The sequence below is a fragment of the Homo sapiens genome, chromosome 10 (assembly GCF_000001405.40).
Source record: "Homo sapiens chromosome 10, GRCh38.p14 Primary Assembly".
Taxonomy (NCBI): domain Eukaryota; kingdom Metazoa; phylum Chordata; class Mammalia; order Primates; family Hominidae; genus Homo; species Homo sapiens.
In genome coordinates, this window is record NC_000010.11 from 77,404,156 (window position 1) to 77,417,976 (window position 13,821).

The following is a 13,821-nucleotide window of genomic DNA, read 5'->3' on the forward strand; positions in this document are numbered from 1 at the left end:
GCAGAAGGGGTAAATTATGCCTTTGATTTTTTTAAAGCCTTTATTTAAAAAAGAATATTTTCTTTATTTCCTCTTAAAATATCTTAGTGAAACAAAGAAGGATGGTATTATTCTATTCTATTTTATTTTATTTTATTTTTTGAGATGAAGTCTCACTCTGTCACCCAGGCTGGAGTGCAGTGGCGCAATCTCGGCTCTCTGCAACCTCCACCCACCAGGTGCAAGCAATTCTCACGCCTCAGCCTCCCTAGTAGCTAGAATTACAGGCGCGCGGCCACCATGCTCGGCTAATTTTTGTATTTTTAGTAGAGAGGGTTTCACCATGTTGGCCAGGCTGGTCTCAAACTCCTGACCTCAAGTGATCCGCCCACCTCAGCCTCCCAAAGTTCTGGTCTCCTCCCATTTTAAAGAAAAAGAAAATACCAAAGCAAGAGGAAACGCAATCTGTCTAAGATTAGGGCATGCTGAGGAGGGAGGAGGAAAGTGTGGGAGATGTCCTGTGGTCTTTGCCTACCCAGCCTCTATGCCCCTTTTCACAGCAGCACCCCCACTTTCCTTTAGGAAAATTATCTCTTCCTCTCAGTCTATGTAGTTCAAAGGGGACAGATGGCCTCACATTGGCTCCAACATTGGAGTCCTTTCTACCCCCTGCCAACAGCAATTGGGCCATTAATAATCACATGATCCATGCCAAGCCAATAAGACTCAAGCGTGGAACATTTGCAGGAAAGAATAGGAAAAGTCATCCTTCCCTGAGAATGAAGCCACTGCAGAGAAAAGTAAAAGTAATAGACTACTGATGTCATCATTTGAACACCCGGATCCAGCTGTGCCTGAAATCTACACCAGACCTTTCCAGTTACAGGAGACAATACATTCCCCTTCTGGCTTAAAATGTGCTTGAGGAAACAAGGCTGATTTCATCAGATAACTGAGCCCCACACAGGGGCCGAAACTGTAAACCTTTGCATACAGTGAGTGTTCTGCCTGGAATACTCTTCTCCCACAGAGACTTATGGCCTGCTCCCTTAAGTCTTTGCTCAAATATCTCCTTTTCAATGAAGTCTTCCCTGGCCACCTGTTTAAATTTGCAACACTTTCTTTCCAATAGCACTTTTCTGCTTTATTTTTCTCCATAGCACTTAAAACCGCTAATATACTTAATAATTCATTTACTTCTTTCACTTACTGTCTGCCTTCCCCACTGCTGCAGCCTTGGTGCCTAATAGAGTGTCTGGGACAGAGTTGGCTCAATAACCATGAATGAATGACTAGAAAGGGCTATGAGTATCAGCCCCTCGTTAGCTACAAAGGCTGGGTTTAGTGTTGCCAGATAAAATACAGGATACCCAGTAAAATTTAAATTTCAGATAAACAACAAATAACTTTTTAGTATAAGTATATTCCAAATACCACATGGGACATGCTTATACTAAAACCTTATTATTTATCTAACAATGTACATTTAACTGGACCCCAACACAAATACCCACTGCAACTATGACTGCAGATGAAGATGTTTAAAAAGATGCCAGCAAATTATGTTCATCATTTAAAACTCTGGAATTAATTCCCAAGGCAAAGCCACACTGGGGATCATTGTGATTTGGAGTAAGGGGAAGAACCAAAGACAGTGGTGAAAAGCTTTGTCTGCAGTGACAAAGGGGGCGGGGCAGAGGGAGGCCAGGCACGTGGGAGGCAGGTGGGGAGGGTGCACTGGTGAGTCATCCTCTTGGGGACTTGGCCACGGCAGGCAGGAAGCTGGTCCCGATTCCTGCTTCTCTCCCTCTGGCTGCCTGTGGCTCAGGGAAGCTGGGGAAGAGAAAAGTGGGACCTGCAGCCCTGGACGCTAATATTTTCTTTCCAAATGTGTTAAGCCCCACAGAGCTACAATGATCCAAGAGGAGGCCCAGGAGGGGGAGGCCACTGGGCAGATGTATCTGGGGGCTGCCTGCTGACATGTGTGGGACCTGCTGCCCAAGCCTCCCAGGCCAGCCTCAGATAGGACCTGTTAGGTCTTGCCCTGGTCCCTGAGCCTCTGCCCTGTGAGACTCTGAACAGGAGGGTATTTAGGAGGATGGGGAGGCCCTGATACAGGGTCAACCATGGTAACTGAAGGTGTAGATTCGGGGGAAAATCCAGCTCTGCCACCGCTGTGGGACCTCAATAAGATGGGGACAGTACTGCCAGCCCCTCAGGCATTGTCAGGATTAAACAGTGTCCAATAGCACAAAACACAGGTTCAAGCAATTATCCCAGCACCCCTTGCTTCTTCTCGTGCCCCTGACACCATAAAGCAATGGTTATCACAATGAGCGGGCATCATAAGCACACCAGAGGGCTTGTTGAAACACAGTGTGCTGGGCCCATCCCAGAACCTACATTCGAACCAAGATGTCAGGCACTTCTGATGCTGCTGGGCTTGGAAGCCTACTTTGGGGACCACAGCTCCTGACTACCCTAGTATGGCTCGGTGACTGCTGAAATGAGACATGGATCTTCACCCCCAGCTCTCTCCTGGCCTCTCCCTTCACCCAAGGACAGAACCACCTGCTTGTTTCAATATTGGACATTGGTGGAGGGGTGAGGAAAAGAGGAGGGCAGGGAGATCGTCCCACATCTGAGGCTCTAGTGTTTCCTTTTGAGTCAAGCCTCCCAGGATGTTTCTGAACTGGTCCCTGGCCACCACGTGGGGACCTGGAAGATAGCTCCCTGCTCCTCAGTCCTGGGGGCCCAAGTTCCACAGCCCCTTGGTAGACCCTGGAGAGGAGAAATCAACGTGAAAAAGGCTGGGAGGCAGGGGGGCCCTCCAGTCACAGTGGTTAACTGCATCAGTAATTCATAGCACAAGAGGTATGTGGCAGATAATGCTATTTCGCCAGCCCTCTTACCTATTGTTTTACAAGGCATTCATTATTTTAATTACTTTATGATAGGCAAGGAAAAACACAGACTAAAGGGAGATAATGCCCTTGTTATTATTTGCTTACACTAGATGTTGTGAGCTTAATTACCATGTGTGGGAAGCAGGACTGGGAGGAGTGATGGGGGAGCTATTTAAAGCCTGATGCCAGCCGGCCAGACTAGCCACCAGGCTAGCCACAGATCTTGTGCCTGGAGGAAGAGGCCCCTCTCTCCACCACTGACTTCACTCTGGCCAAAGCACCTCTTATGGGGAGCAGGCATTATAACTCCATGCTCCAAAGAAAAAGCAGAGAAGGTTCAGTAGCCTTGCTGGGAACATGCAGGGGCAGAGTCCATTATAAGAGTGTTGGCCACCATTGAACAAGCCAGAACTAGGTGCCAGCAACTAAGAATTAAGTGTTTTCTATGCATTGTCTTGCTTAAACCTTATAATACATCCAACAGGCAAGTGAAATTATTTCCATTTTACAGACAGGGTAACTAAGAGCAGGTATCTCTCAGAAAAAGGCACAGAGCCTGAGAGCTCAGGCTGGAAGCAGAGAGCCCACCTGGGCTTGTACCTGCTCCAGAACTTCCAAGCTGATGGCTGTGGCCCATCAACCCTTGAGTCTCAGCCTCTTCCATGTAAGATGGGGACAAACATGCCGCCTCATTAAGGTGGTGGGGAAGCTGAAGCTTGGCACAGTCCCGGGCACACAGTGGTTACAGCTGCCCTGATGAAGCACCCGCTGATGGGGCTGGGGCCTCTAAGAGTAATCCACTGAAGCTGCACCACTTTCATCAACCAGTGGCCCTGGGAGGCACACTGGCCAGAGTGAACCTTTAATAAATAATCACAGAATGGAGGATAAGGAGGTGCAGGTTCTAACACTGTTATCCTCCAATGAGCAAGAAGTCCCTATAAGGCAAGGTGCTGTGACTCCTGCAGGGCTTCTAGTAGGCGCTGTGTGACCACCACCCAGGACAGCTGGGGCAGGGATTCCCGCACAGGGTGGACCCCAGACCCAGTGACATCTCAGACCCCTTCTGACTCGCCCCATTAGATCAACCTCCCATTTTTAAGATGAGAACGCTGAGGACCAGGGAGAGGCTGCCTCCTGAGTCCCAGCATTCCGTTCTTGCTCCTGGCCCCACAGGATACTGCCTCACAGGGGAACAAATGGTTTGTTCCAAATAGCAAAGGGGATATGCAGCCACGCCCAAACCTTCCACCTCCCACTGCAGAGGACCCTGTCCTTACACAGGAAGCACTTCCCAGTAGGGGCAGCCCGATGTCAGTCAGGAAATCACTGAGTGCGTGTGCTCACACATGTGTGTGTGCATGTGTGAGAGTGTGTGCATGTGTGTGCACGTGTGAGAGTGTGTGCATGTGTGTGTGCGTTTGTGTGCACGTGTGAGTGTGTACGTGTGTGTGCATGTCTGAGAATGTGTGCATGTGTGTGTGCATCTGTGTGTGTGCTCACACATGCGTGTGTGTGTCTGTGTGTGTAAGGGAGAGAAACCCCACTGGCTGCAGCCTCCAGCTACCCCAGCTTCAGGAGGACAGGCCACCAGATCTTCTGAAATGCAAGAAAAGATGTCTTGGGAAAAGAAAGGAACATGGAGGGAAGAATAGGGAGAAAAATGAGAGGTGAGGCCATCGCGTGGGGAGGCCATCTCAGAAAGAGGAGGTCCTGCAGGAGCCCTCCCCCTGCCCTTGGCAGCTCCCTGAGAAAGGGATTCGGCCTTGCACTGGAGGCCACTCTGGATCTGCCTCCAACCCTGCCCTCTCTCCCCACTAGAGCCTTGTGTAAAGCAGGCCACAGCTGCCTCTCAGTGGCAACAGTGACATCTAATTTCAGTGCCCACATCAGAAGGTGGGGAGGAATTCAGGGCAAGGGTGCAGGCACAGGAGGCAGGGAACACCAGAGAGAAGAGTGGCCACAGTCCCCTCCCGACACCCACCCTACCAGGCAACCTCTCACGGGGCTGTGCCCAGCCTTACACCCTCACCCCTTTCTATGCCTTCTCCCCATTCCCTTTAGTGGTGTTCCCCACGATGACTTTTTGTTGACATGGCCGCAGAGGGGCTCACCCTTCCTATGTCACCTGGGGCCAAGGGCCTGACTGCACCCCATCACCTGGTGCTCAAGATACAAACCTCATCTGATGCGTTTGGGCATTTCCCGCTGAATCACAAGATCAAAGACCAAAGCTTGAGAAGGGACCTTAGCAATTCCTGAGGATCCCCACCACCACCCAACTACCACACACACAGTGTACAGATGAGAAAACTGAGGCCCAGAGGGAAAGCCACAAGCTCAGGGCCACCCAGCCCAGCCAGGTGACCACCGGGCCAGGAAGCAAGCCCCAGTTGCTCTGTTTCCCTTATCTCTTGTTGCCTCCCCGATAAGACAATTGCTCCAAATCTAGCCCAAGTGACAGTCACTCTGCTGCCCCAGCCTGGAACCTGGAGTTCAGGGTGTTCCTAGGACTGGCAGAAGGCTCCACCTAGCCTGGTACTGGGTTCAGGTGTGAGGGTCACGACAAGGGCTAATCCTGCTTGTCTTCAAAGGGCCCAGCCTTCCCCAGCCACGACAGCTGCTCTGGTCTAGCACAGGAGAGCAAGCTTGTGCTAATCCTAGGACCCCACAGCCCCATCCCTCAGATTTGGCTGTCTCCGTCTCTCATCCTTGCTGAATTAGACCCAGTATACTGGGACTCTCAGGTCTGTGGTGTGGCAGGAAGAACTATGAAAATCAAAAGATACTCTGGACCAAGTCCAACTTTTCTGGGTGGCCTCCAGCAAGTCATGTCATTCCTCAAACCCTCCATATTCTCTTCTATGAACAGGGATGAGTCCTGCCTTGTCACCCTGCCTGATTCTTGCAGGAGCCCTAATCTGGTAACAGAGCATTGCCTTTCTGAAAGCAACTGCTTTACAAACGGCAGGCAAGTGGAGTCACTGTCCTCTGGTTCTGGGCAGGAAGCAGGGCTGCTCTGGAGAAAGAAGTCCTGTGCCACAAAGCCAGAGCCCTCACAGAACGCAGGGCTCAACACTCAGATTCCTACCCAGCTGCAACTTGCAGGGCAGGTCCCCCGTTGTCACCCTGCACCCTAACAGGATGTCAAATTGCCAAGTCTCAGCAGGTGACCTGTCATGCTGGGCACACCCTCCCTGACAGGGTGAGCTGCTGCCACACCTGCTCTCACCCGGTTGGACTCTCTCACCCCCAGGCACACTCCTGACACCTGTCAAGCTGAACCAGGCACCAAGGTCACTGCAGGCACCACACCTGCTGGATGACTGCCTCAGGCATGAGAAGCTGGCTGGGCCCGCCTTGAGGGGATCCCAGGGCCCCTCCCTGCTGCCTGCCTAGAGCCAAGCCTTGAAGCTCCAAGTCTGCCTCGGGTTTAACTACGTGTCAGTTCTTTGGACACTGGTTCCTCATCCAGGATCTGGGAAGTTGTTTAGGCAAAGGCCATCTGGGAAGAAAAATACTTTTCAAAAATGTAACTGAAATCATGTCACTGTTGTACCCAACACCCTCCTATGGCTTCTTGGCCCATTCAGAGGACAAGTGAAGTCTTCACACCCAATCAGCCCCACTCGTGCCTGTCATCCTGCGAGTCTGCCGCTCACTAGCTCCACTTCAGATGCAATGGCCTCCTCATGCTGCCAGGACATTCCAGACCCAGTCCCGTCTCGGGGCTGTCTGCACTGGCCTCTGCCTCTGCTCCAGAGATCCCCGTGGCTGCACCCTCATTTCTCTCGAGCTTTGGTTCACATCCTCACTTTGTCCATGAGCTCTCCACCTCATCCCGACCTCTCCCTGTCTGTGCTGTCTTCTCCGGAGTGTGTCTGCCACCTGCTTCCTTTACTTCATCATTGTGTGCTGTCTGCAAGCTGCATGAGGGAAAGAGTTTTTGTCTGTTTCTTTTTGTTTTGTTTGTTTTGTTTTAGACAGAGTCTTTCTCTGTCACCCAGGCTGGAGTGCAGTGGCGTGATCTCGGCTCACTGCAACCTCTGCCTCCTGGGTTCAAGCGATTCTCCTGTCTCAGCCTCCTGAGTGCTAGGAGTATAGGCATGTGCCACCACACCTGTTTAGTTTTTGCATTTTTAGTAGAGATGGGGGTTTCACCATGTCTGTTTCATTTATGGCTGTATCTTCAATATTGAATCCCTGTGAGCTCAGAGTAAGCACCTGACAAATCTTGGTGGGTGGGAGGGAAGGAAGGAGTGGGGGAAGGAGGAGAGGAGGGAGGAGAGCTACAGCAAATGGAAAGTCAGTTCTTACCATGCACAATCTAGAATAGATATTACTAGTAAATAGTACTACTAACAATAATTATACTATCGACTACTGTTTTTTAGCATGATCATAGTAACTCTATGACGTTGGTACTAATGTCCTCCATTGACAGATGAGAGGTTAAGTAGCTGGCCCAGGAAGACACAGTGTGAATTTAAATCCAGCTGTCTGATGCCAAAAAGGGACACGTACCCATCCTGCTGTCCTCCCGGGAACAGTGTGAGCAGCAGACGGGAGAATGCATGTGCAAGGATTATTGGCTGCTGCAAAGTGCCCACGAAAGGTTTATTAACATGAAGAGCACTCAATTCATGCCACTTCTGGGTACTGCTTGTACCATCACGACCCTTCTTCCAGGGCCCTGTGCCTATGGAGGGCAGTTCCATCAAGGACAGAGAAACACAGTTCCTTTCTCTGCCAAGAACCTGCCCGGAACCATAAATTCACCCTTCGTGGAGCAGAGTATCACATTGGAAATGAGCGTGGCCAAGCTGACGGGCTGTGAAGCCCTCCTGCTAAGAACCACGGTTCTCTATGCAGATGCTGCTAAAGGAAGATTTGGCTTCCTCCCTCGCCATGCGTATCCTTGGAGTCCTTAGCACGCTCTGCCCAGCGGTCTCCAGCACTAAGAGGCTGAGCTCTGCCGGGCCTGACGCACCTGAGTGGGAGGTAGGGTTCTGACAGGGAACAGGAGAGATCAGGTTAGCACAAAACCATCTCCGCTAGCCCTTTTGGGACCAGAGTAGGGGCTGGGAAGCCCCTCTCATCCCTGGAAGCTGGATGTTCTGCCCAGCACCCTGGAACCATGGGATAGTCCCAGGATGCTTGACCCCCAGAGGGCTGTGAGAGAAGGAAGGGCCTCATGCCTCACAGCCCCTTTGTCCTCAAATTTTCCTGGTCAACATCAGAAGGCCATTTCCCCTGAGCCTTCATTGATGGACTGCGCTCTGAGTTACTCATTCCATCTGCCAGGAGCCCCACCCCACCCTCTCCCTGGCCACTCCATTGCCCCATCTCCTCTCGTCTGTTGAAACTGACCCAGCAGCCCCACATGCTGCTGTCCTCAACTGGGCACAATGCAGAAGGGCTCCTTCTCTCCTACCAAAGGGTGGGGGCAGGGGGAAGCCTTCTGGACCAGAAGCTATGAAGCCAGGCACAGGCTGTGTGCCCTGGGCCAGTCACCTAACCTCTCTGAGAAGAGTCCCTATCTGGGAGACGAGAGGGGGTGGTGAGTTAAATCCACAGTTTTCTGTACCTTGAGGCCCAGCATTGTGAGGTGCCCCAGGGGGGCTGGTTACCAAGGGAGGGCAGAGGAGGCAGGGCCCCGGACCCCGCGGAAATAAAAGCGCCTCTGCATTGAGCAATTTCACCTATTATGGTTCTGTGCTAGACTGCATCTGAGTGAAGGGATTTTCTGGGGAAAAACATTAGAAATCCCCTGAGTAAAAGTCCATAGGCCCATGTTAGCTTTTTTTTGTTTTGTTTTGTTTTGTTTTGTTTTTTGAGAAAGAGTCTCACTCTGTTGCCCAGGCTGGAGTACAGTGGCGTGATCTCAGCTCACTGCAATTTCTGCCTCCCAGGTTCAAGTGATTCTTGTGCCTCAGCCTCCCTAGTAGCTGGGATTACAGGCGTGTGTCATCATACCCGGCTAATTTTTGTATTTTTAGTACAGACAGGGTTTCACCATGTTGGCCAGGCTGGTCTCAAACTTCTGACCTCAAGTGATCCACCTGCCTCAGCCTCCCAAAGTGCTAGGATTTACAGGAGTGAGCCACCTCGCCCGGCCCCATGTTAGCTTTTTAAAAAATGCTTTGTTTCATGACAATAACTATGACATCCTGTGGCACAGTTTGGCCTAAGATCCAGAAGTGTCTGAACCTCAATACCTTAGGAAGCCCTGGGGCTGCTGGTCCCTCCCCGCGGGCTGCTCTCCTCTCCTTCGCCTCAGGTTTTCACCAGCCCCGAATGCTGGGGCTGGGTCTTCCGTGTCCCCCCTCCCATGCCAAAGAGGACATCCACCCAGCAACCTCTTTCACCTCCTGGGCGGGTTTCCCAGCCACGGGCATTCTCCCAGGTACCAATAATCCTGCATATTAGGGTATTAGGCAGATTACCCAAAGCAGCTCAAGCAAATCAAGCATAGCATGGGCACCACCAGCTGGGGTTTTCATGGCAAGAGTTCTGCAAAGGGAATGGATGGAGGAGGTGGTTACTCTGAGACTCAAGGACCAGAGAAATAGGGCAACAGGGGACCCAGGTCTTTCCTAGAGCTGGTGTCAGGAGTGGCAGAGTTCACTTCTGCCCCTGGGAAGTTGCATAGTCCAACCTCTCCCTGGCTGCCATCACTTCTCCTGCTCTGCACCCCGGAGACTCTGCACCAGCAGGGCTTAAGACATTTGCACTGATTAATTCACCTAGCAGTTACTGTGTTTGCTAACTGTGGGCTGTACCTTTAGGGAAGGGACACACTGTCCACAGATTCAGGCAACAGGAACTTATAAAGAAGCTGGGACCTAACCGATTACCCCGAGCTGTCAGAAAGCCCTGTGAGTTTACTGGGTGTCTCGGCTGGACCTACAGTGCTCCACCATTGAGGCATTTTTAGCCATTGCTTTCTGGGTGCCCTGTCCAGATTCTCACTCTTAGAAGCACCCCTGCGCTGGGTGTGAACAACTACTCTTTGGAAGTCTTCATGGTAGAAAAAGGCCAGGTGACCTTTAACAAGTCCTTACCATCTTGTGCCTCAGGTTTCTTTGTCTCAAATGCAGGGAGCCATGTAAACACTCCCCAAGGTCTGTCCAGCTCTAAACTGTCTGACCCGGAGGCCTGGATTGTTAAGTCCCTTACTTTGCACGCACTGTCTCAGCTCTGTAACCCTGGGCAAGTCAATCAAGCATCATTTCCCTCCCCCGGGAAATGCTGCAGGACAGATTCCTTTTCAGCTCTTCTCAGAGCCAGGTTCAAAGCTGCTCTCCCATTCCCTGAGGACCAAGGGGGTCAACTGGTGCTCAGGAGATCACTGATCCCCTCTTACATCTACTGTGTTCTGTCCTTGGTGATTTTACACCAACTTAATCTTCACAAGAAGCCTGCAAGATAGGAATGTTTTTTCTTTTTTTCTTTTTTCTTTTTCTTTTGAGACAGAGTCTCACTCTGTCGCCCAGGATGGAGTGCAGTGATGCAATCTCAGCTCACTGCAGCCTCCGCCTCCCAGGTTCAAACGATTCTCCTCCTCAGCCTCCCAGGTAGCTGGGATTACAGGCACCCACCACCATGCTCCAGTAATTTTTTTTTTCCTAGTAAGATGGGGTTTCAACATGTTGGATAGGCTGGTCTGGAACTCCTGACCTCAAGTGATCTGCCCGCCTCAGCCTCCCAAAGTGCTGGGATTACAGGCGTGAGCCACCACGCCTGGCTGCAAGGTAGGAATGTCATGAGGCTCAGAGAGATTGGGTAATTTTCCAAGATTACCCATCTTGTAAGTGGCAGAGCTGAAATTTCAATCTAGTCCATTCTAACTCTGAAGGCCATATTTTTTCTCTCTATTCCACACTGTCTTGGGATAGGTCCAATGTGCAAGAACAGAGATGGAATCTCCATATAAAATTCTGTTTACTACTACTACTGAAACAACCATCTCACAACCTATGGCTTCTAAGTAACAAAATCCTGTAGTACAGACATCTAAATTCAGTTATAATCCACTATGTACGGACAGAGAGTTGGAGAAATGGGCTAGGGGACGGGGATCCAACCTGGGAATACAATGCTCATTAGACATTAGATATGTTCTCAAATGGCCACATATGCTGCCTAAAATTAGTAAGGCAACCTCCAAACTTTCAGGGCTAATACATACATCCTGGCCAATGTGCCGTATTTGTAAAATAACAATCTCCTTCTCTTTCAATTAGCTTAATAAAATTGGAAAATATAAGTGACAGTCCAGAGTCCACTATCAGAGCCATAGAGACTTTGAATTGGATTAGTAGAGTCCTCAGCCAGGATGACCCTGGCAGGGTCCAAGACAGCCTGCTGTCCATCAGAGACTCGGAGACTCAGCTGCCAGTCTGCAGGGCAGCCCATCCTGCCCCAGAAGCTCAGCTCAAGACCTGCCCAGACAAGAAAACTGTGGCAGGGGCCCAGCAGGAAGGCAAAAATTACATTTGTTTCTCATCAGGGCAGACTGGGATATGGATAACCAAACACACAGGAAATCCCAAACCCTCATGTTCATAAAAGAATGCAGAAATCTTCGTGCCAAGTTAACTTTTACCGGAGGGAGCCCATTGCCATCCTGTAGACCAGGAGGAGGATCCAGCCCCCAAGGAGCCTCACTCTCCTCAGCAAAGGCTCCTGCAGGTAGCTCACAGGTGCTCTGTTCCCATGGGTCCTGCATGGCCACAGGGCAGTGCTGCCCCTGATGTGGTACGGAATGAAAAGCCTCAGTACAGCGCACTGTGTGTGTCAGTGGAAGACAACTGATGAAGGGCCTCTCCCAGGAAGAACTGTCCTTTTCTTTGACATTATATCGTTACTCCTTTGTTGGGTATTAACATGTCCTTTTAATGAAATGACAATGGTGGCAGAGCTGGCATTTGACAGTTTCTTTTTTTATGTTTTTGCTTGTCAAAATAAAAAGCTGGTGGCCTTGTGATATTCTGTTTTATAAAAATTCATTGATTATCCCACAAAAAGTCTAGGAACCACTCCCCTAGCCCAAATGCCTCATTCTACAGGCAGGAAATTTAAGGCCCCAATATTCCACACTCATAGTGGCCAGGTTCCCCTCGAAAAATGTGGCTTTCAGACTTCAGGGGCCCAGGGTGTGTCTGTCACACTAGCCAGAGGCAGCCTTGGGGCCAGGAAAGGTAGGGTCTGAGGGATGGAGGCATGGTCTCTCAGGGCTGGAGGAGCTCTGCAAGCTGCTGGCCCACACAATAGGGGAAAGGGGAAGGCAAGCATTTTCAGAGCTCAGGGCCATACCAACCGCCTGAGTTCCTGGCATCTAATGCCTTCACTACCACTACTGCAGGAAATGCACAGAACTATAACAACCTCCCGGGAAATACTACAAGTGTTACCGTGGCCCCAAGCCACCACCCAAGGGGCAACTGGGAAGAAAGAATTCAACCACAGATAGCAGATAGGATGAATTGTTTATGGTTGAATATTCCCTTCAGAGTCAACAGAGGACTCCAAGCAATTTGGAGTAAAAAGATGAGTAACCCGAGAGCAATGTAAGTCACAGCCCAGTGCCCCACACGGAAGGGAACACGGTCATCCCCTTCGCTGCTGTTCTTTGCTTCCCACCACTACCACCTTCATCACACACGTGTGCTTATTCTCTAGCAGTCAGGGCAGAGTCTGCCTGATTTGCCCACTCCACATCCTCAAAGCCTGAACAGCACCTAGCACACGGTGAGCATTTCACAGTGCACTGAAATAATAAATGAAGAAATTCTGTTTTTTGTTCTGTCCTGCTTTGTTTTCACTCTTCGCTCATATCTTCTGGAATCTCAAAAATCCTGCCAAGTCCACAATGCCCTAAGCATAGAAGTCAAACTCCTCAAGGCCTGATCTTCAAGGCCTGGAGCTGAGGCTGCCGGCTGCCCTCCCCACTCGTCACTGACCTGCTCTTCCACCTGACTTCTCGGCTATGACTTGGTCCTCCTGACTGCCACACCTCCGTGCTGGCTGTTCCCACTCCTGGGATGCTCTCCCCATTGCTCCCCAACCATCTTCATCCTCCCTGATCAAATCCCAGAGGTGCAGTGAAGTTCTCCTTCCTGGCTAGATCTCCCCAAAGCTCTCCCTGTCCTGTCTCCAGGGCCCACATCTGCTCCCCCAATTCCACATGGGACAGGTACTTAGCTGTCTTTTGGTCCATGCATGTTGCATTGCCCCAGTTAGCCTGGACAATCCTTGAAGGCAAGGCCTATATACCTTTTATGCCCAAAGTGTTTGGCATACAGCAATGTGCTTAACAGACACGTACCGATTGAGTAAATTAAATCTCTGCTCAGTGGGCACTGGAAAAGCAAGAGCTTTCCCAGGCATCACTGACGTCTGGGTAAACCAGGCCAGTTTCCATGACTTGAAGCTTAAACTGGGGGTTGGCTCCTAACTGCTGTTCCTCAGGGCAGCTACATTTTCAAATAAAAACACTAAATCCCAAATGAGATCAGATGACATGGAGCTTCTGAGAGGCACATGCCCTACCAGGCATGTCAGTCAAAAGAAAGATGAATGTTCTTGTTTACAAAAGGATTTGTCCCGTGCCAGGAAAATTTCCACCATGATTTAGGACCTAATCCAGTCTGTGCCTATAGACCTCACCAACTGAACATGTTCCCGCTTCTTCCATTTGCTGAACTTGGATGGGGCTTGGCTTCGGGTCAAAAGAGCTGTCCCAATTAGGTCGTCAGACAGCCTTTCCCCACACTTAAGATGATCCCCATTCAGGAAACCAAGGGCTAGCAAGACAGACAGACTTTGGGAGGCAGAAAGATGGCCAGGTTACCAGGCATACAGCGGCAGTCAGGATCTACCGCTCCGAGCACAGCCCAGCCTGAGGAACCAGGCTCCCAGAGCTGCCCTGCTC

At 50.5% G+C, this 13,821-nt stretch overlaps 1 protein-coding gene across 54 annotated transcripts in view, besides 1 other annotated feature; it reads right to left on the bottom strand.

Annotated features, from left to right (window-relative positions):
- Positions 1 to 13,821, bottom strand: part of KCNMA1 (potassium calcium-activated channel subfamily M alpha 1) — a 768,207-nt gene that overhangs the window by 534,554 nt on the left and 219,832 nt on the right. The window lies entirely within an intron of this gene.
- Positions 6,118 to 6,617: an enhancer, noted in NCBI's record as "H3K4me1 hESC enhancer chr10:79170031-79170530 (GRCh37/hg19 assembly coordinates)". NCBI's record gives its function as "activates a minimal SCP1, AML or CMV promoter by ChIP-STARR-seq in naive and primed H9 embryonic stem cells {active_cell/tissue: H9 hESC(naive and primed)}" and the evidence as "EXISTENCE:reporter gene assay evidence [ECO:0000049][PMID:30033119]".